At 37.4% G+C, this 23,878-nt stretch overlaps 1 protein-coding gene and 1 long non-coding RNA gene across 10 annotated transcripts in view; one reads left to right on the plus strand and one right to left on the minus strand.

The window, feature by feature from the left end:
- The window catches only part of LOC105369673 (uncharacterized), a 79,767-nt gene extending 69,360 nt beyond the window's left edge, over positions 1-10,407 (minus strand). Inside the window, exon 1 of one of the 5 annotated variants that reach the window (XR_007063224.1) lies at positions 9,965-10,202. This is a non-coding gene — a long non-coding RNA (uncharacterized LOC105369673). Of the gene's footprint in view, positions 1-9,964 lie in introns of all 5 variants that reach the window. The other 4 variants (XR_007063226.1, XR_007063225.1, XR_001749021.2 and 1 more) reach the window with 4 other exon arrangements.
- The window catches only part of PTPRO (protein tyrosine phosphatase receptor type O), a 275,824-nt gene that overhangs the window by 15,791 nt on the left and 236,155 nt on the right, over positions 1-23,878 (plus strand). The gene's annotated exons all lie outside the window — the stretch shown is intronic.

The raw sequence follows: 23,878 nt of genomic DNA on the forward strand, positions 1-23,878 counted from the left end.
GTGGCACTCTGCTATGTATTTTAACAGTGGATAGATATAGTCTTTGTCCTACAGGGACTGTTTCAGAAAAACAATAACTACAATTGCAGGGAAAGTAAGTTATCGAAGCAAATTTGAAGCACCTAGGAACATACACAAAATACACAAAGACCTCAATAAAACACCATTAGCTGCAAACTCAAATTTATTATGAAGCACGTTGTATATTGGACTATATTCTTACCAGGTTTATCTAGAAAGTTCTTGAAAGGACCAATCATTAAGGCATTCCCCTTCATAATTCCCACAACATTGTTAAAGGCAACATTTTAATGACTCTTCAGAGAATCAGATAAAAAAGGAAATTACCACTGTAAGAGGTAAGGGCAAAATATTAATTGATAAAGTAATATTCTTCCATTCTTTTAGTAATTATTAAGTAGCATATCTGGAAATGGTATAAATAAGTCTGAACAAAATAGAAAGTATAAGATAAGCTTACAAGGTTTGAGTAAAACAGGAGCGGAGTAGAGGAAAAGAATGGATGAAGTATTAATGTGAAGATGAATACATGTTCAGATATTTCCACCAGTCAATCATCAAACATGTATTAAGGTAAACATGTAAGGAAGGCACTGTGTTCCTCATTTTAAGAGTACAAAACAAAGTTATTTTGCTAAGAAGTCTGTAATACAAGTGAAAATAACAAACATGTAAGAAGCTAAAGGGCAATATATGAGTTAATACTATAATAGAAGCTTTGAAGTATTAACGTATTAGTTTATAAATGAATGAGAAAGAGAACTGTATTGAAATAAATGTCCTTGCATTCAGATAAAGGAAAAAGCTCTTGGGCTGGAGGGAGCACTGATTTCATGAAGGAAGACAAAAATTTAATATAAGTCCAATAGAGTTTAAACAGTTAAGAGCAGGTTAAGGAAAACATTTCACATTGGAGAAAGAGAAGAACAGAAGTAGAAACACGAGAAAATGTAAGTTATGTTTAGGAGGCTTGAATAAAACAGTGGGGACAGATTCAGGTCCTGAGGAGGATGAGTAGTTGGAAATGAGGTTGAAAAGGTGGTTTTGCCCAGCCATGAACTTCTATTCATAATAATCTATTCAATAATGCTGCAAAGGGAAACATTAAAATGAGCTTTAGTTCAGCAGTGGTGTGCAGGAAAAAAATTATCATACCTCATTTTAGCTTTAATTGATTTTATAATTCCAAATTTGCTGTTAAATGCAAATGCTTAATTCTAAATACGTGTGCTCTGTCTTAATTAGATAAAATAATCCTCTGTTGCTTGGGTAGTTCAGTAAATTAGTCCCTAGACTTAAACTCCCCTGGATCATGTTGTTTATGCATTAATCGGTATGCACTCTTAGAGATAAATGAAAAATAAATGGATTTTTTCAGAGACAAGTTGTAACTGTCAGCATACTTTCAAATTTATATCCTCTGCATGTGACTAAAAATTTGCCATCGTTTACTGTAGTAATTACAATTCATATATATATGCTCCCATACTTGTAGAATTTCTTCTACATGTTTGTATTTTATTTAAAACTACATGTTGCTAGCCAAAGCTAAGTAGAGAATCTAAACCTCACCATTATGTACATAACCATGCCACCAACTCAACAATGTAGGTTCTATCTGCATTTGTATATAAGATATGTCCCAAAGGAACTAATCAATGTAGGTAACTGAAGCAGAAATTAAATGATTTAGTTCTTCCAAGCCTCACTGCCTTATTGATAATGATGGAGATGATACTGATGATCCCTACCATTGACTGAGTGACTGCTGTTTATTGGGGACATTCCTAGGAACTTTATGTACATTATCTCATCGAATCCTTATACACTCCTATATATTATAATCATTTCAGTAATGGGCAAACTGAGTTTCAGGGAGAAACTAAAGGAGTTAGGAGTGAAACCTTGGTCCATTTGACCACAGAACTCTACACACACTGTAACATACCATACTACTTTGTGTGAAAACTATGACACGGCTTGTATTTCCCCTTTATTGGTCTACCACTTCTTCCTCTTCCTCTTACTACGGAAATATCTCGAGACACAGGTGACTGAATCAGTCCTTGGTTGGGACTGCCTTTTGGACAGAAATGGGGTAGGGATCACTCCTGGAGACAGCTGATTCCTGCCCATCCAAAATCATTCTTGCGGTTTCTTTTTTCTGTCCGTCAATCTGTCAGGCACATGTTCCCAGAAAAAAGTCTGTATATCAGTGGATTCCTATATATTCGTAAACGTCAGGCTTATTCTTTTGTTTTTTATCTTCTTCAGTGTAATAGATTTGATGCTTCTGTACTCTGTAAGATAATTACACAGAGCTGAATGTAATGTTACGTGCTGATGGGGAGAACTGGTGTTTTAAATTCTTTTAAATCTGGAGCTTTTATGGTCAACGTTAGAAGCACCATGGCAGACTTATGCCCTGGCTTTAGAAGCCTGTATGAGATTTTGTGACTTGCTGGCTTTATGAGACTTTTACACCTCAGATTGGCCTTTCCCTCCAAGAAAGATACCACCAGACAACAACAATTTTAACACTAATGTCTTCCTTTTGATTACATTAGATTTGCAAATTAAACAGATTAATAGTAGTGTTCTGTGTTCCTCTCAGCTCTTCTGTTTAATACTCTTATCTGACAAAGTGTAAATAGAAGACATAATTAATTACTCATTACTTGCATGTCAAGTTGCATAAAAAATTACATCCCCAGGAGGCCTATTATTACATATCTGACTGTTCAGTGAAATTAGTTTTGCAAAGAAAAAGCATACCTTAAGGTAAGGGTTTTGTTTGTTTTTCTTTTCTTTTTATTTAATTTATTAGAGTATCTGCAAAAAATTGTGGAAGAACAACATTAACTCTTAATACACAATTAAAGAGATTAATTCATTTGCCCAAGGATATGTTATTTTTCCTTTTTTATTTTTTAGTTTGTCCATGAGATATTAAACTTTGCATTTGAAAGTTATAAGCTAATGATGCTTCTACAAAAGGAAGACCCCAGAATATGCCTATTGTCTCTTTAGTATATATCCCACAGAGAAAGTTATTAGTTAAGCAGGCTATGTCATACCCCCTCCTCTGTAAATTGTCTCAACCTTGAGCTGGGAAGTGTACTGCCATGACTGAAAAAAATAGAATAATTTTCCAGCCATTTCTTGTCTTATCTGTCTAGAGTTGATCTGAATGAAATGAGGTCTCTGCTTCAACTGGAGAGCTCAGCATTTCATATTTAGCTCTCAATCTGTTTCATGATAATTTTTGAAGGAACAGACTGCTTATGACAAAATGTGCTGTACTATTATTAAAGGCATACTGCCTTTATAGAGTTCCATCACTTGAAACAAAGTGCTGGCTGGGAAGAATTCTTGAATGTGCATATCTTCTGAGGTTTTTTAACAGCTATTAAATAAAATATAGTATGTGCCTCAGGTAAGAGAAAACCAAGTACCTGATTAAAAACAAAACAAAACAAAAAGGTCGTAGCATTGTCAATAGAGCAAAGCAGCATAAAGCAAAGATTACCTGCCTGCAATCACTTAGTCACTTCACCTCTCTGTAAAAATGACAATCATAATCACCTCTACCTCGCAGGATTACTGTGAGGTCTAAATGAGCTAATCTGTGAAAGCACTTTGTAAACTGTAAAGCACAATTTAAATACATATTATCTTATTAAAAATGTCTGCATCACCTGTTTCATTGACTCTGGGAGAGAGATGTTTTCTTTTCCACATTTATGTGTATTTGTGCATGTGTGTAGTGTGTTTCGTGGAAGCCTTTAATTAACACGGTAGTACTTTCTTTTTCTTTTTATAAACTAAAGTTTGCCATACCCAAGTGCACTTTCTGTCACCTGAAGTCACAGCTTAATTATGTGTCTGGAATGACTTAATATATAAAAGTCATAAAAATTTCTGTCTAATGGCAACTATTTTTATGTTAGCCCTGTCTTTTATATACTGACCAGATCATTCTCATTAAAAATTGTTGTTTATCTAATTTCATACCCATACCACCCAGCATTCTATTTGTACAGTGTTTTATGTCTATGATCACCAATCATCTTTCATATGTTATATTTGAGCATAATTTATTCTTTCTTTCTATGAACATTTATAGAGCATCAATTGTGTGCCAAATACTGTGCTAATCATTCAGTGTCTCCTTGGATTTCACTTATCTGTAGGTAAAAGTGATTACATATTTATAGTAATAACTCCAATTACAGTGCAGTTGGCTCAACCAGTACACACCCAATATCAGCCTTTTTCCTATGAAGAGCCCTCACAGGTGTTGCTCAGTGCCCAGTGGGGCTTTGCTGTGGAACCCTAGTTCTCTGCCCTTCCAGCCTCGAAGTTTTCCTGTTAGACATCTGCCCTGCTCGACCAGGTGCTACCACTGCCAATCCCAGCACCTTCCTTGATGTACCCAAAATCTTCCCATGCCTTGAAAACTAAGCCTTTCTTAGTATGTCAAGCTGTTGCTTTGGGGTTTTCTTTGTTAGTTTGGTTTTCCCATTGCAGTTTGTCAGCTGTGGGCCGATAGGTTTCTGGAATTTCAGTGTCACCAATTATTCAGGTATGTGTACCTATTCAGGTATGTGTACCAGAATAATTGTGTGTGAAGGTGTGTGAAGTCCATTTAGGCACAAGCTGGGATCTCCACTCCCGACCCCATCACATTAAAAATAGCAAAAATTACTTATCTAATTTTATCTTCCTCTCATTTGCCTTGTCCATCTTCTAGTTGAGTTGAATAAACTAGTGGACAGTGAAATAATCAAATGCAGGATAGCATACAGGAAGATGAAAAACATAAATATAATCTAATTTTTTAAAGCCTGTGTTAAATTTCTTCTGCTTGTAAACGTTTTGAAATCTTAATTGAATATGAAAATAGATACAAGGTAAAAAGTTTATTTTTGTTTGATACTGTGCTCCATGTATTTATTTCTAATTTCCACAGTGGATGGAATATTAGAAATTATTGAAAGTCCTAATTATCTCAAACATTTGCATTTTACGTTAAATGTCCTAAATAAGCAACCATTTAATATGAATTTAAAATTAAAATTTAAAGGCTGGACGCGGTGGTCCATGTCTATAATCTCAGCATTTTGGGAGGCCAAGGCGGGAGGATCACTTAAGTCCAGGAATTCCAGAATAGTTTGGGCAGTATGGCGAGACCCCTATCTCTACAAAAAATTTCAAAATTACCTGGGCATGGTGGCTCGCACCTGTAGTTCCAGCTACTTCAGAGGCTGAGATGGGAGAATCGCTTGAGCACAGGAAGTCGGGGTTGCAGTGAACATGATTGTGCCAGTGCACTCCAGACAAGATGAAACAGCAAGACCCTGTCTCAAAAATAAATATATATATATTTTTTGAGACAGAGTCTGGAGTCTCGCTCTGTCGCCCAGGCTGGAGTGCAGTGGCGCCATCTCCGCTTACTGGAAGCTCCGCCTCCCGGGTTCGCGCCATTCTCCTGCCTCAGACCAGAGGCGCCTGCCACCACGCCCAGCTAATTTTTTGTATTTTTTAGTAGAGACGGGGTTTCACTGTGTGAGCCAGGATGGTCTCGATCTCCTGACCTCGTGATCCGCCCGCCTCGGCCTCCCAAAGTGCTGGGATTACAGGCGTGAGCCACCGCGCCCGGCCATAAATAAACAATCTTTTTAAGAAAAGTTTCATTCTTTATAGAAACATATCCTACGTTGAACGAGAGTTTTAATGTGAGTCTACATAATCATTGTCAGGTTCTAACTAAAAAGAAGGCAAATATAAAAACCGGCTTTGTCACTTGAAGAACACAAGAAATAATAATGAGAACTATGCACCATTTCACAATTCTCACACTTGAACATTGTTAATGTTGAAGCCCCAGGATTATGGAAACACTGGAAATATGCCACACTGTGATCACATTCATTTTTAGAATTAATAGTAGGTATCATCCAAATGGTTCTAAAATACATTTTTTAAGTGTGAAATGTCTTTCACAAATATGGCCATGACTTTTCAGAGCACTCTTTTGCAAATAAATAATTCTGGATAGCCAAATTCTACTAGACCTCCCTATACAGAAATCTCATAAAACTCAGATAAATGCAAATAAGTCAATGAAAAGAATAGCTCTCTATCTTCCTCCTAACTCAGCCACTTAAGACTAATATTGCCTCTATTAAAGAGATGAAAGCAGATGTGGTATACATTATTGATATTGCTCCACATTGAAAGTTAAAACTTTTATATATGTTCTCTCAGATTATATAAAACTCATATAAAATTTACTTAATGAAGTTTTCAAAATAGTGTATGGGAAAAAGGGTAAGTTTGTGATTTCATGGCTGTTTTCATATGCTGATCTGAATTCAATGTCGTCTCTCTCTTTTCACAAACCATCTGGGAGATTGACAAGTTGCATCTCACCAGATGGCCTACCATACCAACCTCACACTTCCATGGCACCATCCCTCCATGATAAATCCTGAAATGCTTTAATACAATGTTCCTGCTCGGGAAGAACTCCACAGCTCATGCCTTACGAACCAGTTCATCGTCACCCACTTCATTTCCCAAGGTTGAAATGGGATATGATTTCCACTGGGTGCTAAATTATTCTATGGCTCAGAGGAATTAAGTGATCCCAGCTGAATACACCACCAAGCTCCTATCATCCTATCTTTCTACAATCTCTTTTCTTATTCTCTGTTTCCCTTACTACTCCCTGGCCTATTCTTTTATAACTTACACTTTACAGAGAGATTCCATTCTTTTTTCCTCTCCTTTTCCATATACATAAATCACTGGAATGTATACTTTAAAGTGTCAGAAAGCAATGACAGTTTTGAGCTGTGGTTCATGTCTTCCTGAACCTAGCATGCAGATAGTTGATACTATACAATACAAAACTGAATTGTCTGTGTCAATTATTTTATAGTATCACTACATATTTAAAAGATACTATAAAGACACATGCACACGTGTGTTTATTGTGGCACTGCTCACAACAGCAAAGACTTGGAACCAACCTAAATGCCCATCAATGATAGACTGGATGAAGAAAATGTGGCACATATGCACCATGGTATACTATGCAGCCATAAAAAAGGATGAATTCATGTCCTTTGCAGGGACATGGATGAAGCTGGAAACCATCATTCTCAACAAACTGACACAAGAACAGAAAACCAAACACCACATGTTTGCGTTCATAAGTGGGAGTGGAACAATGAGAACATATGGACACAAGGAGGGAAACATCACACACCGGGGCCTGTCGGGGGGTGGGGGGTTAGCATTAGGAGAAATACCTAATGTTGATGATTGGTTGATGGATGCAGCAAACCACCATGGCACGTTTATACCTATGTAACAAACCTGCATGTTCTGCACATGTATCCCAGAACTTAAAGTATAATAATAATAATAAAAGATACTGTCTGGGAAGAGATTCTTAAGACCACTCATTCTTCCTTTTGCCTTTACAAATGTCAGAGAGGCACTAAAGAACAAACTGTGAAGGAAAAAGACCTGAAAAAATATCTTTTTTCCCCTAGCTTACAGATCAAATCTGACCTCAATATCTTCCCCCACTCCCTCCCCTACTTTTCCCCTCTGAGCCTCTCTCATAAGTTTTATAAATTCTTCCAGTCATTTAGTGTTCAAGAAGAGAGTCCAAATCAGAAACTTTGCTTAATATGATAGGTCTCATTTCTCTGGTGCCTTGATCATCTTTCTTTAAATAGAGTGAATTTTAGCTTCCAAGTTATTTTTTCTTCTCTTTCTTGACTTTTAGACTTTACTGTGTCTGTATTCTCTGACAAACATATAAACTGCTTATATCTTCACCCTCATGTTTTGCATATCAAATCCAACTATCTGCTAAATTTTTCTTTTCATTTAGCAGTAACTGACTACCATAAATATACTATCACTGTAAGAACAAACCATGTCATAGAGAAGTTTGCCTCCAGGAACTTTATTTCAAATCTTTTTACTTAAGTTTTCAAAATGCTACTTTATATGTTATTTTATTTCTCCCATTGCATCCCCAGGTTGGGTCAGATGACAGTATACCTGCATCATCTTTATATGTGGATATCAGTTTCCATTTCCTATTCTCCCACATGCAGAGCTGCAAGAAGTTGTCTGCAGCTTGTTGGGCACATAAAGATCTTTATGGAACAGGCTCTGCACAATCCAACATAATATTGACCTCAGAGAAGTTTGGTGCTTTCCTTGGGTGTGACTTTGTCGACTAGAAGATTAGCCAGTGTTTCTCAAGAATACCGAATGGTCTATTTGGTGTAGATAAAAAGAGAAATTGTGATGATTAATGAAAGAGGAATTTTTGATACGGAAAGAATAAGATTAGTTCTGTCATGAGGATAGGGAGACCAACAGCTAACTCAGTTAGTTAAAGGATAATGGAATAGAGTAACATGAAAATCTGTCATCTTACTTCCCTGCTTAAAACATACAAATAGATTTTCATGGTTCTTCAGATAATGCCCACACTTCTTCAGGGGTTTAAAGTCTTTCATGATCTGATTTATTATCACTTTGTTAGTGTCATCTCTTGTCAATTCCTCACCTTTTTATGCTGTAATCTTTCTGAATTTTTCTCTGTTCCTCACACTTGATACTCATTCTCACCTTCCTCTAATCCTTTGCATATACCATTCTCTCTGCCTGGAAAATTCCTAACTCTACACTCTCCCCTTAACCCAACAAGTGGCTCCTCATCCTCCAGGTCTCAGCTAAGATGATACTCCATTCACAAATGCATTCCTGACCTCCTCTCCTTTAAAAATGGGAGGAGTACTCAGTTTTTTCCTCCTCCTCAGAAACCTTCCATACTCCATCCTTAATTGGCTATCTGGAAAAGTCCTGTTTATTTATCAAGACACAACTTAAAACAGTTTTCTATTCTTTGAAACCATCCCAGCCTCACTCAAGTGTAGTTGATTCTTTTCCTTCTTAATACATCACTATAACTTGAAGATATGTCTATTATTAATTAAATTACACTGCTATGACAAGATTTCCCTGTATATTTATATTCCCAACCAGGCAATAAATATGATCTCCTTAAAGAAAGAGACTGTCTTATATTCACTATTATCATTTTACCCCCAAATATACTCTTTCCTCACCTGCTTATCTTACAGATGTAATTAATTTTTAGTTACCTATCTGTTACTCTGTAAGCCTTCTAAGGGAGGGACCATGTTTAATTCACCACTCTTTACCTACCACGTTTCACAAACCTTGGCACATACAGACACTCAGATAGTTTTAGAATGAATGTATGAGCTTGTATTTGTATACAAAAGATAAATTTTTCTGCAAGTATTAACAAAAAAGGACTGAACCAGAGACTCTTAGTAGTTTTCTGTAGCCTTTACTAATGTTGATAATATATGATAAATTGGAGGTCATAGAAAATTCATCTGGTCTATTTAGTTACAATTCATTTGCATGGCCCCATGCAGGGCAGAGATCTAGAAAAAATAACACTTATGAAAAGTTATGACAAATAAATCAGATGAGAATACCAGATTATACAATTTACCTATGGCCCTAAACATAGTCTAATATACTTAAAAGACAGACATACTTAATATCATCTGCATACATTTTTTTTCAACAAGCATTATTTATAGATCATCTAAAATATGCTAGGCTCTGCTGATAGGAAAAATAATGCATCCCAAAAGATGACCATACCCTAACCCTAACCGTAACTGTGGAAGCTGTAAATGTGTTTTCTTATATGACAAAAGAGACTTTGCTGATCGGATTAAGATTAAGGACCTTACAACAGCAAGATTATTCTGGAATTTCTAGCTGGGCTCTCCAATCACCTAGTTCCTTAAAACTAGAAGAGGAAGGTAAAAGACTAGGTCAGGGAAACGGCCACAGAGAGACTCACCCTACCATTGCTGGCTTGGAAGATGCAGGAGAAAGGGCATAAGCCAAGGTATGCAGGCAGTGGAAGGTGATAAGCCAAGGTATGCAGGCAGTCTCTAGAATCTGGGAACAGTCCTCAGGTGACTACCAGCAAGGAAATGGCGACCTCAATCCTTGTAACAGGAAGAAACTAAATTCTGCCAACAACAGTGAAGGAGTTAAAAAAAAAAATTATAGGCCGGGCGCGGTGGCTGACGCCTGTAATCCCAGCACTTTGGGAGGCCGAGGCGGGCGGATCACGAGGTCAGGAGATCGAGACCATCCTGGCTAACACAGTGAAACCCCGTCTCTACTAAAAACACAGTGAAACCCCGTCTCTACTAAAAATACAAAAAAATTAACCGGGCGTGGTGGCGGGCGCCCGTAGTCCCAGATACTCGGGAGGCTGACGCAGGAGAATGACGTGAACCCCGGGGGGCGGAGCCTGCCGTGAGCCGAGCTCGCGCCACTGCATTCCACCCTGGGCGACAGCGAGACTCCGTCTCAAAAAAAAAAAAAAATTATAGAGCCCCTAGAAAGGAACACAACTCTTCTTCTGACACCTTGATTTTAGCCCAGTGAGACCCATGCCAGACTTCTGACCTATAGAATTGTAGGATAATACATCTGTTTCAAGTCATTATATTTGTATAAATTTGTTGGAGCAGCAGTAGAAAACTAATGCAGCACTGGGCTAAATGCTTGGGAGAGAACAATAAAGAGCTATTCTTAATTAATGTCTCTTTTTTATGGCATTTTTAAAGACCATAGAATAGTCTGACCTGCAAAACAGATTTATGGAACAAGTAATACCGATACAGTATAATAAAACTTATAGTAGATGTATATAAGTTTTATACTTCAAGAAATAGTGATGGAATTAAGGAAGGTGTTAAATCTATTTGGAGTGGGATCAGGGAAAATTTCAGAGAACAAACCATTTTAAGATGGGTCCTTAAGTAATAAATACTAGTTTTCCAATTGGCTAGATGGGGGTACGATTTAGTACCATGTTAAGCTAAGAAGGAGTGCAATTGGAGATGGATGAGTGATAGAAGAATGAGTGACATGAGGACTTGTTTGTCCCACAAAATGTATTTGGATGTATAATATGGAATAATTTGCATCTAGAAAGTTTGCTCCAGCTGCAAATGGGGAATGGAAGAGGGGCAACACTGTATGCAGAGACTACTACCATAGGCTGAGTAAGAAAGGATGAGGTCTCTGTTTTATAATAGCCCCCATTTATTGGAACTTGGCTATGTGTCAGCAACTATAACAACACTTTACATATATAATTCCATTTAGTCTCTGTTAGTTAGCTCTGCAAAGCAGATGCCATTCCATCTCACAAAGAAACCAAAGTTTACACAAATGTGCCCTTAAAAAAGAAATACCCCACAAAAAGCTAACAAAAGTAGGATTCAAACCCAGTTGTTAATCACATTAAAGCCTGTGCTTTAATTCACTCTACCATGGCAGGAACAGGGAATCAATATAAGAAGACAGAAAGAGAGAGATTTAATAGGTAAAATTAACTAAGCTTATTATTGATTACACGTAGGACAAGGGAAAGAGAGGAATTGTAGCTTACTGATAGTTTTTGGATTTGAGTTCTAGGGGAAAGGAGTTCCAGCTAAGATAGGGACCAAAGTAGAAGACACTTTCTGAGTCAGGAATAAAAGTTAAGCTTCGGATGAATTTAAGGTGTGTATTGGATAGCCAGGTAGAGATGCCCAGAAGCCAGTCTGGAATTTAGAATTGGGACATGGACTGAAGAGAAGGATTTGAAAATCATCTACCTGTAGGTAACTTTCATGGTCTGGAACCCTTCATATATAAATGTTGGAGAAATCTCCTGTTTCTAATGAATAGTGAAAGAATCTATCCTTATCTGTGCTCTGAAAGAAACTTTCATCTGAGACTCCCTGAAAAGATGGCTCAGCCTAACACCAACGCTGACTACCAGACTGGGGGTGCTGGCAAAATGGCAAACTGACAGTGCCAAGGGCTTTGTCTGTGTCCTGCTTGATGAGGTCAGAACCTTGTTCCCGTGGAAGACCTACTATGTCATACAGCTCTGCTGCATTAACAGCCAGTCTGAAAGTAAATACTTTGCTTTAGACACTGTTTTTAACTGCTTAATGAGCATACTGACTTCCCACCCTACCCCCCAATTAGCTGCATATCAATCAGTCAATTAGCAGATAGACAGCTCAGCCAAGGAACAGTGAAGGCTGGTGTTGCAACTGATTGTTAAATCTGTCTTGAATTTGCTATTGGAAAATGAGAGAAGTTTAGGGCAAATACTGCTCCCTGTACCCCTGACTGAAATCTTCTAGACAAAATAATTGCTATCAAATATTCTGATACAGGAATTCTTGAAACTGCCTGGTTACTTTACTAGAAAGGGAAGCAGCCACTAACTGCAAAAGACTACCTCTGTTGTACCAGATGCACAAGAAGAGATTTTCACCATTGCAGAGCTATTTATACACAGCCAACTTCTGTCCTCAGTTCACATATACACACAACTCCCATTGATATCAGTGGAAGCTGCGGACATGTGGCTGAGAACAGAATTTGGCCCACTGAGCTGCAAGGCTTGGCATTCTTTTGCTCACTATGACAACTTCAGAACTGGATCTCTTAGCACATGTGCTTTTAGAAGAAGAGTTCTTGATTTATTTTCTTTTTTTTCCCTCCCCTCTTTATCTTGGCCTTGAAAAACAAAATGGAAACTTGAGAAACTACTGGCAGCAATGGGTTTTTCTTGCATAGAATCAACTGTATGGCGGACTTGGAGAAACAGAGACCATACAAGTTTTTGGATTCAAAAACTTGACAAAATAGTTTTCTGTAAGTGTGCTGCCGTTCCCAGGATGCCGACTAACAGCTTGGCTTCACAGTCGTCCTTGAAATAAAAGCAAAAGATGCCATGAAACAACTTTTACACACGTAAAATTATTAAGTCCAATATTTAATTTACAGATGACATATTCCAGAGAATATTTGAAACCTGTCATTAATATGTACTTTTATTCTTCTTATAGGAATTGCTCTTTCTCTAGTTTAAGTGATTTTAGTGGGGCTGTCAGCAAGACTCCTGCCTCCCTGTAAGTGTACATGTCAGGCTAGGCAATCAGTGTATCCAGTCCTCTTGAAAACAAAAGGCCTATTAACCAAGGAGAGACAACCAGCATATGATATTTCAAAGATTATATGGAACAGGGAAACAGACTCTCCTTCCGAGGTCAGGAGATTAAAGGATACAAAGTCTTTTAGCTTTGGGGGCCAGTTTTGTACCACTTAGAGAAAAACTGCAGGTAATGAAGCCAACAGGGAGGAAAGTAAAGAAGGTAGAGGAGAAAACATTTTTATAATATTTAAATCCCTGGATCTAGCCATGCCTTACTGAATTTTCCCACTATGAACAAAAAATTAATCCCTTTATTCTTAAACTGGTTGGAGTTGAATCTCTAATAACTGGTAACCTATAGGGATTTAACAAAAAAACATTGCTCCTTCATTCACTCTAGAGATTTTCTCTGCCAAAATGTATTTTTTTATTGCGTGCAAACACTCAGATTTCACCATCTTTGTATATACTGAAACTTTCCTAAATAAATAACCTCAGGAAAAACATGTGATTTGCAATAACTGTGGATGCTCTTCACACCAAGAAGATAGGCAGGAAGATTATACTAGACAATGCAAACACATAATGTCTCCATGTCTCTGCTCTGTTGGGAAAGAGGAAGCCAGTGGAGGACCCTCTTTGTGGATGCACTTTGAGGAAGCACCTCATTATCTTGACTCTTGGCTGTTGCCCAGTGTGGTGCCCTGATGGAGTCTGCGCCCAGCATGTAGCTCTGGTAATGGATCCAGTGACAGGCAGACTGTGTTACAAGGTGCATTACACTTGACCAGCCATCATTACATCGGTTCTGCCCAAATTATTTGATTGACATTTTTAGAGAAAGTCAGGAACTGTTCATAATTGGTAGCCAGGAAGGCACTATTTTCAAATAAGTGAATACCAAGAATGAAAGTGTAAAGGAAGAGACTTAAAGAAATGGGAAGGTTTTCAGCCAGGCGTGGTGGCTCAAGCCTGTAACCCCAGTACTTTGGGAGGCCAAGGTGGGCGGATCACGAGGTCAGGAGATCTAGACCATCTTGGCTAACACGGTGAAACCCCATCTCTACTAAAAAATACAAAGAATTAGCCGGGTGTGGTGGCAGGCGCCTGTAGTCCCAGCTACTCAGGAGGCTGAGGCAGGAGAATGGTGTGAACTCGGGAGGCGAGCTTGCAGTGAGCCGGGATCGCACCACTGCACTCCAGCCTGGGCGACAGAGCAAGACTCTGTCTCAAAAAAAAAAAAAAAAAAAGAAAGAAAGAAAGAAATGGGAAAGTTCTAGGGAAATGGGTCTTCTGCCATTGTGAAATTTGGATTTCACAATTTAGGATGTGTGGGCCATCCTAAAATTAGGAGAATGTGATTCAGCCTTGATACACACGAATTGGAAGAATAGCTTACATAAACAGCCTTTAGTTACATCTATTTGGCATAGCAATGAATCTATGCAAAACCTTAACAGTTTATTGTACAGTACATTCCCATCAATTACCCAGAAAATACATGTCTTATATGTCAATATATCATGCAGTAGATTCCCATTAATCATCCGGAAAATATGTCTTAGGAATAAGTTATCTACTGCCTGAGGAATTTAATTTAATTGTTGAAGAAATTGCCTTCAGCAGGGACTGATTTCTTGCATCATTACCAGTGAGTGTTTCCTCACATGTAATAACTGATTTTCCAGACATTCACCTTATAACTCCCATTTATGTGCAGGTTACAATATCCATTAGACATAGAAGTCCCCCTTACCACACATGAAAACACATACACCCACCTACCCACTCATCTACCCCACCCTACCCACCACACACACGTAAGAGGACTTCAAAAAGTTCAAGGACAAATGGAATTAAAGATAAAAATTAAAAAGATGAACTTGTTTTTCAACATATCATCAAGTTCAAGACACTTATTATAAATTATGATACCAGCCATTTAGTCTGTCCCTAAAGAACTGAGGCTCCTAAGAATTTAACCATGTTGATGCAGTTTTTTTTTTTACATTATTAAGTGAGGAACAATGGATACCCTTTACAGATTTTTTTAACATTCAGAAACAAAAAGAAGTCAGAATGAGCCAAATCAGGACGATAAGTTGGATGTCTAACGAATTCCCACTGATATTCTCACAATATTGCCCTTGTTTGATGAGAGGCATGAGCAGAAGCATTGTTGTGGTGGAGAAGCATTGTCATGATGAAGCTTTCCTGGGCATTTTTCCTCAAAGGCTTTGGTTAACTCTCAAAACACTCATAATAGGCAGATGCTATTGTTCTTTGGCTATCTGGTATGTCAACAAGCAACATGCTCTGAGCATTCCAAAAAATTGTTGCCATGACCATTGCCTTTGACTAGTCCACTTTTGCTTTGATTGTACCATTTCCACCTCTTGGTAGCCATTACTTTGATTCTGCTTTGTTTTCAGGATCATACTAGTAAAGCCATGTTTCATCTCCGGTTACAATTCTTCAAAGGAATGCTTCAGGGTCTTCATCCCACTCGTTTCCATAAAAGCTATGCTCTTGTCTGCAGCTGATCTGGGCTCACTGGTTTTGGCATCCATCAAGTGGAAAGTTTGTTCAATTTTTTTCAGTCAGAGCTGTGTAAGCTGAACAAACTAAGATGTCTATGGTGTTGGCTATTGTTTGTGCTGTTAACTGTTGGTCCTCCTCAAATAGGGCACTAAATTTTTTTTTAAAAAAGGGCATTAACAAGGTTAAATTTTTCTACACAAATTGATGTAGATGGTCTGCCACAATGGGCTGCATCTTAAACATTGTCTCATTCCTTCTTAAAATGAGTCATCCATTTGTAAACTGATTTCTTTGTGGCATTGTCCCCATAAACTTTTTATAAAGCATCAGTGATTTCACCGTTCTTCCACTGAAGCTTCACCATAAATGTGATGTTTGTTCTTGCCTTAATTTTAGCAGAATTCATGTTGCTTTCACAGGGGGTCTTTTCAAATGGATGCCTTATCTTTCTTAGTGCTTCAAACTAGATTGTATTTATACACATTATAATAAGTTAGTAAGAGTTTATTTTGGTGCAAAAAGTTTTTGAAATCCATCTATAGTTTTCTCATAAATGCATTTTCCATGAACTTTTCAAAGACCTCTTTTCCATCATAAATCTAAAAAATGTTAAGATTTAAGTAGCTTCACTCATCTAAGAGAATCACTAAGCATTTATTTGACTGCTTGTTTTTCTTCTACTTTAAGGTGTGCATTTGTTTCTTACTGCATGTAATAAAAGGAGCCATATAAAAAAGGTTTGTTATATGGTATAATAAGCACCGTATATACATGGTCTTTCTGGATACTCACAACAGCCTTGTGAGACAAAGACAACCCCGTTTTACAAATGACAAAAACAAGGCTTAGGGCTATGAAATAACCAAGCAAATGAGTTTGATTCCAAAGCTCATTCTAATAACCACTAAGTAAATGTCAGTGCACTGTTGTATATTTTTACCGTATTTTATAAAAGGTCCCTAAAGACCCAAATCCTCTGTGCATTTAGTTACAAGCACCATTCTGCATTTCCCCCCAATACATTTTCCCCTGGTTTATACCTATCTTCTTTGTTCTATTATTTTTGAAATTTTGAGTAGTAAAGGAATTTGGGAGAGGGAGGATGAAGAGAGAGAGAAAGGAAGACAGAATCACACCGATTAAGATGAATTTAGAAAGTAAGACCACTACGGCTCACATTGGTGGCATTTCCCTATGTGTCTTTGCAATGCTCTTATCTGACACAGGTCTCTTAAAGGTTGGGTTGAATATCTGTTCCTCAGTTATTGCTCTTTTACTCCCCAAAATCTTCCCCTACAAAGGACTAAAAATAGTGATCAGAAATGACCTTTCCCTCCTTAGTCCCAGGTTTGTTTGGGATTTCATGTAATAAACTAGAGCATGGGTGTCCTCTTCCACTGATTGCCATGTTCATTTCATGGCCTTAGTCAGGTGCCTTGGCTGCAAATTTTCCCTCTCTACACTGAAAAACCCAGTTTTGCTGGGCAATTTTAGTTCCCACTATGAAGAAAACCCTTCCAGCATGTAAATGCAATGCTTGGTGAGGCCTTTCCTGAAAAGCAGTGTTGGCCTTCACACACAAGATGAGACATGTGGAGATTAACTTTAATATCTAATCTATTGCAGAGGTGAAACTAAATTCTATTTCTTTCTCCTCATCTGAAATGAAAAGGAAATGCTTGAAATTTTGCCCCCCAAAATAGAGCACTTTAATCAAACCATTTTAATGTGATATTCCTGTGTCTTCATTAAGTTTCCAGACAGTTTTAATGTTTATTGAACTAAATTGATAGGGTTAAACATCTTTGTAAGTATAAACTAAAGTTTTTATGGCTATTTCTATTATTGTGTAAAAGAAAAATAACAAAAAAGTATCTATTCGTTTGAGGAGGTAGCTGGTATTTGCTAGCAAAGGAGAACAGCCATATAATTAACTGTGTCAAAATGTTTTCTTTGTTCACAGTTAATCTAACTGCAGCTGCTAGGAGGCAGAATGCATAAATATGACTGTGTACTTTTAATTACAGAAAATGACAGGCGTAAGTTGTGACTGGAGTGTTGCCTGAGATTGTTGTGGGCAAAAATGTTGCTCAGAGACTCATTGAATTAATAAGTAGCCTTTTATTTTTTGGTGTCCAAATTGTATAGATGTTACTAGCAACTAAAATAAAATTAAATTTCAGAATTTTAATCAGCCAAAGAAAATTTAAATATAATCCTGCAACATATTTAGAGAAATCATGGCACATAATAACCATTTGATATTGAACATTATATACAATAATACTTCATACATGTGATTTTTGTCTTGGAGCAAGAAATGCTCTACATAAGTGAATTTTCTAGAGATACCTTTAAGAATTAAATTATTTCTCCCAATTTTCCTCTCCATTCTGTGCAAAGAAGTCACTCCCAATTCTGATTTTTTTCCCTAGATGCTCTAATAATAATGAAGACAAAATATCTCATATTTGCTGATTTTTCTGTTTTGATAACACATAGTAATGCCTATAAATGGAGGGGTGGGTAGCTCTGAGTCCTGGGGTTCATTCCCCTCTAGGTGTTGATACTTATGACATAGTATGAAAGAGAAATGGAGCAGCACTTCATTATTTGGGACATTGTTCTCTTCTTCTTCCCCTTTTCTCTTCTACCTTTAATGGCTGAATAGTATAGCAGAATGTTCATTGGGCTTTCCATCAAACATATTTTATATTCATTGTAACTCTGAGCAGAGAACTTAACCTTTCTGAAAATCAGTTCATTTCTTTATATGGATGAAATAGGATCATCAATGTTTAAATTTTAAATATAGTGATTGCTCAGAAATGTTATTCCTTTTCTTTTTATTTTTCTCCTCTATAACTATTTTTTAATCACCTTTTTATTATACATCTTTTCTCCTTTCTGTGCTATGGTAGACAGGTAGGGGGTGTGGTATTGGCTAGGGAGGCTTAAGGGGTCACGGTCAATGCTGTAGATAATTGCTGTTTTCAGCTGCCTTGTTGCCTTCATTCTATTGTCTATCCCTGCACGCAGCCACTGTGGGGGTGGCTGTCACCTTGGTGACAGCAGTTTTGTGCCATGCATGTGGTGTGAACACTGGCTTAGAGCAGGGTATAAACAGGTCCTGCTGCTTCAAGTAATTCGGTATAAGCAGACAGACTATTGCCTTTGTTCTCTTAGCAGCTCTGCTGCTGAAATACACTAATAATAGAACATGTTAGTTGAAATTATGCCTCTCCATCTCTAATTACTGCATGCCAAAGTATTCTGACTGCTACTGTCATTTCCCAGCAACTGATGGCTGCAGGTGATTGTTTCAGATTGTGCTCAAGGGACTTCTTCCACTCATTCTACTCATTCTCCCTTTGCCCCACTACGTCATGTGTTCAATAACTTGACTGATTCATTTCAGTATGCTGAATGGTTTGAATGAAATAGAAATGAACTTTAAGAAAATATTTTCAAATCAGCAGATGTTCATTGTGGGTTTTCTCTGTGTAAAGGAAAGTGGAACAGTCATAGAAATTGTTTAGTTATATCCAGAATCTACAATGAACTCAAACAAATTTACAAGAAAAAAACAAACAACCCCATCAAAAAGTGGGCAAAGGACATGAACAGACACTTCTCAAAAGAAGACATTTATGCAGCCAAAAAACACATGAAAAAATGCTCACCATCACTGGCCATCAGAGAAATGCAAATCAAAACCACAGTGAGATACCATCTCACACCACTTAGAATGGCAATCATTAAAAAGTCAGGAAACAACAGGTGCTGGAGAGGATGTGGAGAAATAGGAACACTTTTACACTGTTGGTGGGACTGTAAACTAGTTCAACCATTGTGGAAGTCAGTGTGGTGATTCCTCAGGGATCTAGAACTAGAAATACCATTTGACCCAGCCATCCCATTACTGGGTATATACCCAAAGGACTATAAATCATGCTGCTATAAAGACACATGCACACGTATGTTTATTGCGTCACTATTCACAATAGCAAAGACTTGGAACCAACCCAAATGTCCAACAATGATAGACTGGATTAAGAAAATGTGGCACATATACACCATGGAATACTATGCTGGCATAAAAAATGATGAGTTCATTTCCTTTGTAGGGACATGGATGAAATTGGAAATCATCATTCTCAGTAAACTATCGCAAGGACAAAAAACCAAACACTCTCATGTTCTCATAGGTGGGAATTGACCAATGAGAACACATGGACACAGGAAGGAGAACATCACACTCTGGGGCCTGTCATGGGGTGGGGGGAGGGGGGAGGGATAGCATTAGGAGATATACCTAATGCTAAATGACGAGTTAATGGGTGCAGCACACCAGCATGGCACATGTATACATATGTAACTAACCTGCACATTGTGCACATGTACCCTAAAACTTAAAGTATGATAATAATAATAAAAAAGATGATCTATGCATTCCTGAGCCTAATTTTCCGGATTTTGATGAAGACAACTATTCAATTCCATCCCTACTCCTACCTAACTCCCCCACGTCTCTATGCATTTCAGGCAGACCTTCAACCACGACCTGATATTCTTCCTGCTGCAGACAGCCAGCTCTGTTCAGTCAGGCTTTGGATCCTGGAGACTCTCTAATCTAGTTTCTAAGTTTTACAGATGAAGAAATTCTGTGTTACATGAAGTGTCCAAGATCTCACAGTAGCTTAAGCAAAGATAGAAGACAAACCCAGCATTCCCAACTGTTGATATTGTATGCTCTGTGCCTCACTTCATTGTATGTTTTACCTGTTATTTAATGTAACAGATGTTGCTGATAAAATGTGAACAGAAGTTGTCAGTGGCAGGTACAAATCCCAGGCCAACATCGAAAGTTTGTCACTGTCAGAACTTCTGTTCAGTTTTAGTTACATCTGCTAAGGATTCTAAGCACAGTGTACATGAACCTTCCAAAAGATCCTTGGCATTTTTACATCACTTTTGTTTCCTCCTGCTTTTTATATTTTATGGAATGAGTCCAAAATGATCAAGGCATGTACAGTTTACATAATTGTGCACTCAAACTTGAATTTTACATGCATCCAGAATTTGGTCTAATTCTGTAAAATAAAACCTCAGTTGGAACTGGGCTATGCTGAAAAGCAAGTTTGATATAAGTGACATTCAAGATCACCTTGTATTTTCCAGATGATCAGACCTGCTGTTTCTAAAAGAGTACCTCACTTTGTAGACCACTAAATGCAAATTGTATTTTAAACTATAGATTTGGGGGAGGAGGGGTAATTAAGAGTTATAGTAATATTGATTCTTACCCATGTATGAGTACAGATGATATCCCCATTTATTCAGACATTGTTTTATACCTTTCATTATTGTTTTATTGATTTTAATGCCCTTATTAGATTCATTTTCAGATATTATAAAGGTTTGTTTACTCTTGTGCATTGGTCTACTTTTCTTTCTCTTTCCTTTTTTTTTTTTTTTTTTTTGAGATGGAGTCTCACTCTGTCGGCAGGGCTGGAGTGCAGTGGCGTGATCTCCTGGGATCAAGTGATTCTCCTACCTTGGCCTCCCAAGTAGCTGGAACTACAGGCACCCACCACCACGCCTAGCTAATTTTATTTATTTATTTATTTAGTATTTTTAGTAGAGATGGAGTTTCACCATATTGGCCAGGCTGGTCTTGAACAAACTCTTGTGTGCGGATCAAGTGATCCACCTGCCTGGGCCTCCCAAAGTGCTGGAATTACAGGCAAGAGCCACCGCACCAGGCCATTGGATCTATTTTTCTGTCATGTTTTTCAAGTTTGTTTTTGTTGACTTACTAAAGAAAAATTGGTTTTTTAATGTTAATTATGTGTTCAGCATCTCTCTAGGACTTTCTTCTCAGTTCATGTAGTTTGTCTTTCTATCTTTCTAATCTTATCTTGAACAGCCCACTCAGCTTTGTTCCAACAACAGGGACCTTCAGATAGTTCCTAAAATTCCCCAAGCATTTTCCTCACCCAGAGCCTTTGCTTTTCCTATGTCTCAAGTGTTCTTCAGCCCAAGTGGTTAGCTCTATTTTCTTTATCTTTCAAGCCACCATTTAAAAATCAACTTATCGCAGAGATTATTCCTAATTATACCATCAAATGTGGGCCCTTCCCTCTATTGTGCTTTTCAAATTCCCCAGCATCACGTTTTTACCCTTCTTAAAATGTATCGCAAGCTGGAATTGTTTTACTTACTTGCATTTTTACATTAAAATATGAGTTTCATCAGGAAAGGAGCTTATCAGTGTGGCTCACTATTATCTTCTTAGCACCTAAAGCTGTGTCTGACAAATTGTAGGTGTTCAGAAAATATAAGAACACAAGAAGAGTGACCTGAGACTAATGATCTAACATCTCTGATTATAAGTAGAAAATACATTTTCAAAGCATATAGTGATACACTCTGTCTCCGCTGTAAAAGAATAAAAATAAAATATAATCATAATGAATATCCATGACAATAAAACATAGTGAAATTTTCTGGTCTAAGTCCTGTCCCCAAGTGCCATGCAGGAACAACAACAAAAAGCCAAGAATAATGCATAGGGACTCAGCACCCAAGTACGGTTTGAGCCACCTGAATTTAAACAGTCTGTGATTGATTTAGTATCTCTCTTTCTCTCTCTCTCTCTATATATATATGTGTGTGTGTATATATATACATATAGAGATACTAAATCAAATATACAAATTTTCTCTTATATTTATATGTGTTTAAACATATACCTATATGTTTATAAGTTAAAACACACACACTATGTGTGTGTATATGTGTGTATATATACGTGTGTATATATGTGTGTATATGTGTGTATATATACGTGTGTATATATGTGTGTGTATATATATACGTGTGTATATATGTGTGTGTATATATGTGTGTATATACACACATACACATGTGTATATACACACACATATATACACACATGTATATACACACACATATATACACACGTGTATATACACACACATATATACACACGTATATATACACACACATAGTGTGTGTGTGTTTTAACTTATAAACATATAGGTATATGTTTAAACATATACAAATATAAGAGAAAATTTGTATATATTGAAACATATACCAGTATAAGAGAAATTATGATAAATATTTAATAAATAGCTCAAGAATCACTTGCTGCAGAAATTCAGAACATGGGTCGGGCGTGGTGGCTCACGTCTGTAATCCCAGCACTTTGGGAGGCCAAGGCAGGCAGATCACGAGGTTAGGAGATCAAGACCAGCCTGGCCAGCATGGTGAAAACCCATCTTTACTAAAAATACAACAAAAATTAGCCTGGCGTAGTGGCTCATGCCTGTAATCTCAACTACTCGGGAAGCTGAGACAGGAGAATCGCTTGAACCTGGGAGGCGAAGGTTGCAGTGAGCCGAGATTTCACTACTGCACTCCAGCCTGGGCGACAGAGTGAGACTCAGTCTCAAAAAAAAAAAAAAAAAAAAGAAAGAAAAAGAAAAAACAAAGAAATTCAGAACATGTATCCAACACCTAGTGTATCAATAGAAGAATAGGGCTTATTTGACCAAGGGTCATTAACAGTGTTCTGTTAATGAACCTTGAATTGGCCACAGAAAACAATATCCTGATCTGTCAAATAAATGTTACCAAGTGCTTACTACATTCAGCAGTGCGTTTAGTTTGCGGAAGAGCAGAATGACTAAATGAATGAATGAATTTTAAAATTGAGTTAGTTATGTGGACGTTTGGCAAATGTACAAAAAGAATCAGCAAAGTTTTATTACAATGCAAATGTTATGCTGCATTTTAATTTCTATTTAGCCTCTAATATGCAACATTAAATCAAACTATTGTGTACAAGAACCTTAAAGTTCATTTAATGTGATTTTAATTCATGTTATAAATTAAATTATTTGCAATGGAAATGGAGAAATGTCTTATATCTTAGTTTAGACTTGTCAGCTTTCCAGGCTAATTTTGTGCACAGTAATACTAACTGTAGACAGACACTGTACATGAACTACAGTGTCCAAATCATAGATCGGACCTACAATAAATTTCTGTGTGGAGGAGAATAAATTCTCCTCCTTCTCTCCATTCTCATATCAAACTCCTCCGGTATTGCATTGCTGGTTAGCACAAACTAACCCATAAACAGCATTTAAGGGGATGTTGCCATTGCTGAAGCACATACTGCTATTG

This window comes from Homo sapiens, chromosome 12 (genome assembly GCF_000001405.40).
Source record: "Homo sapiens chromosome 12, GRCh38.p14 Primary Assembly".
Classification (NCBI taxonomy): domain Eukaryota; kingdom Metazoa; phylum Chordata; class Mammalia; order Primates; family Hominidae; genus Homo; species Homo sapiens.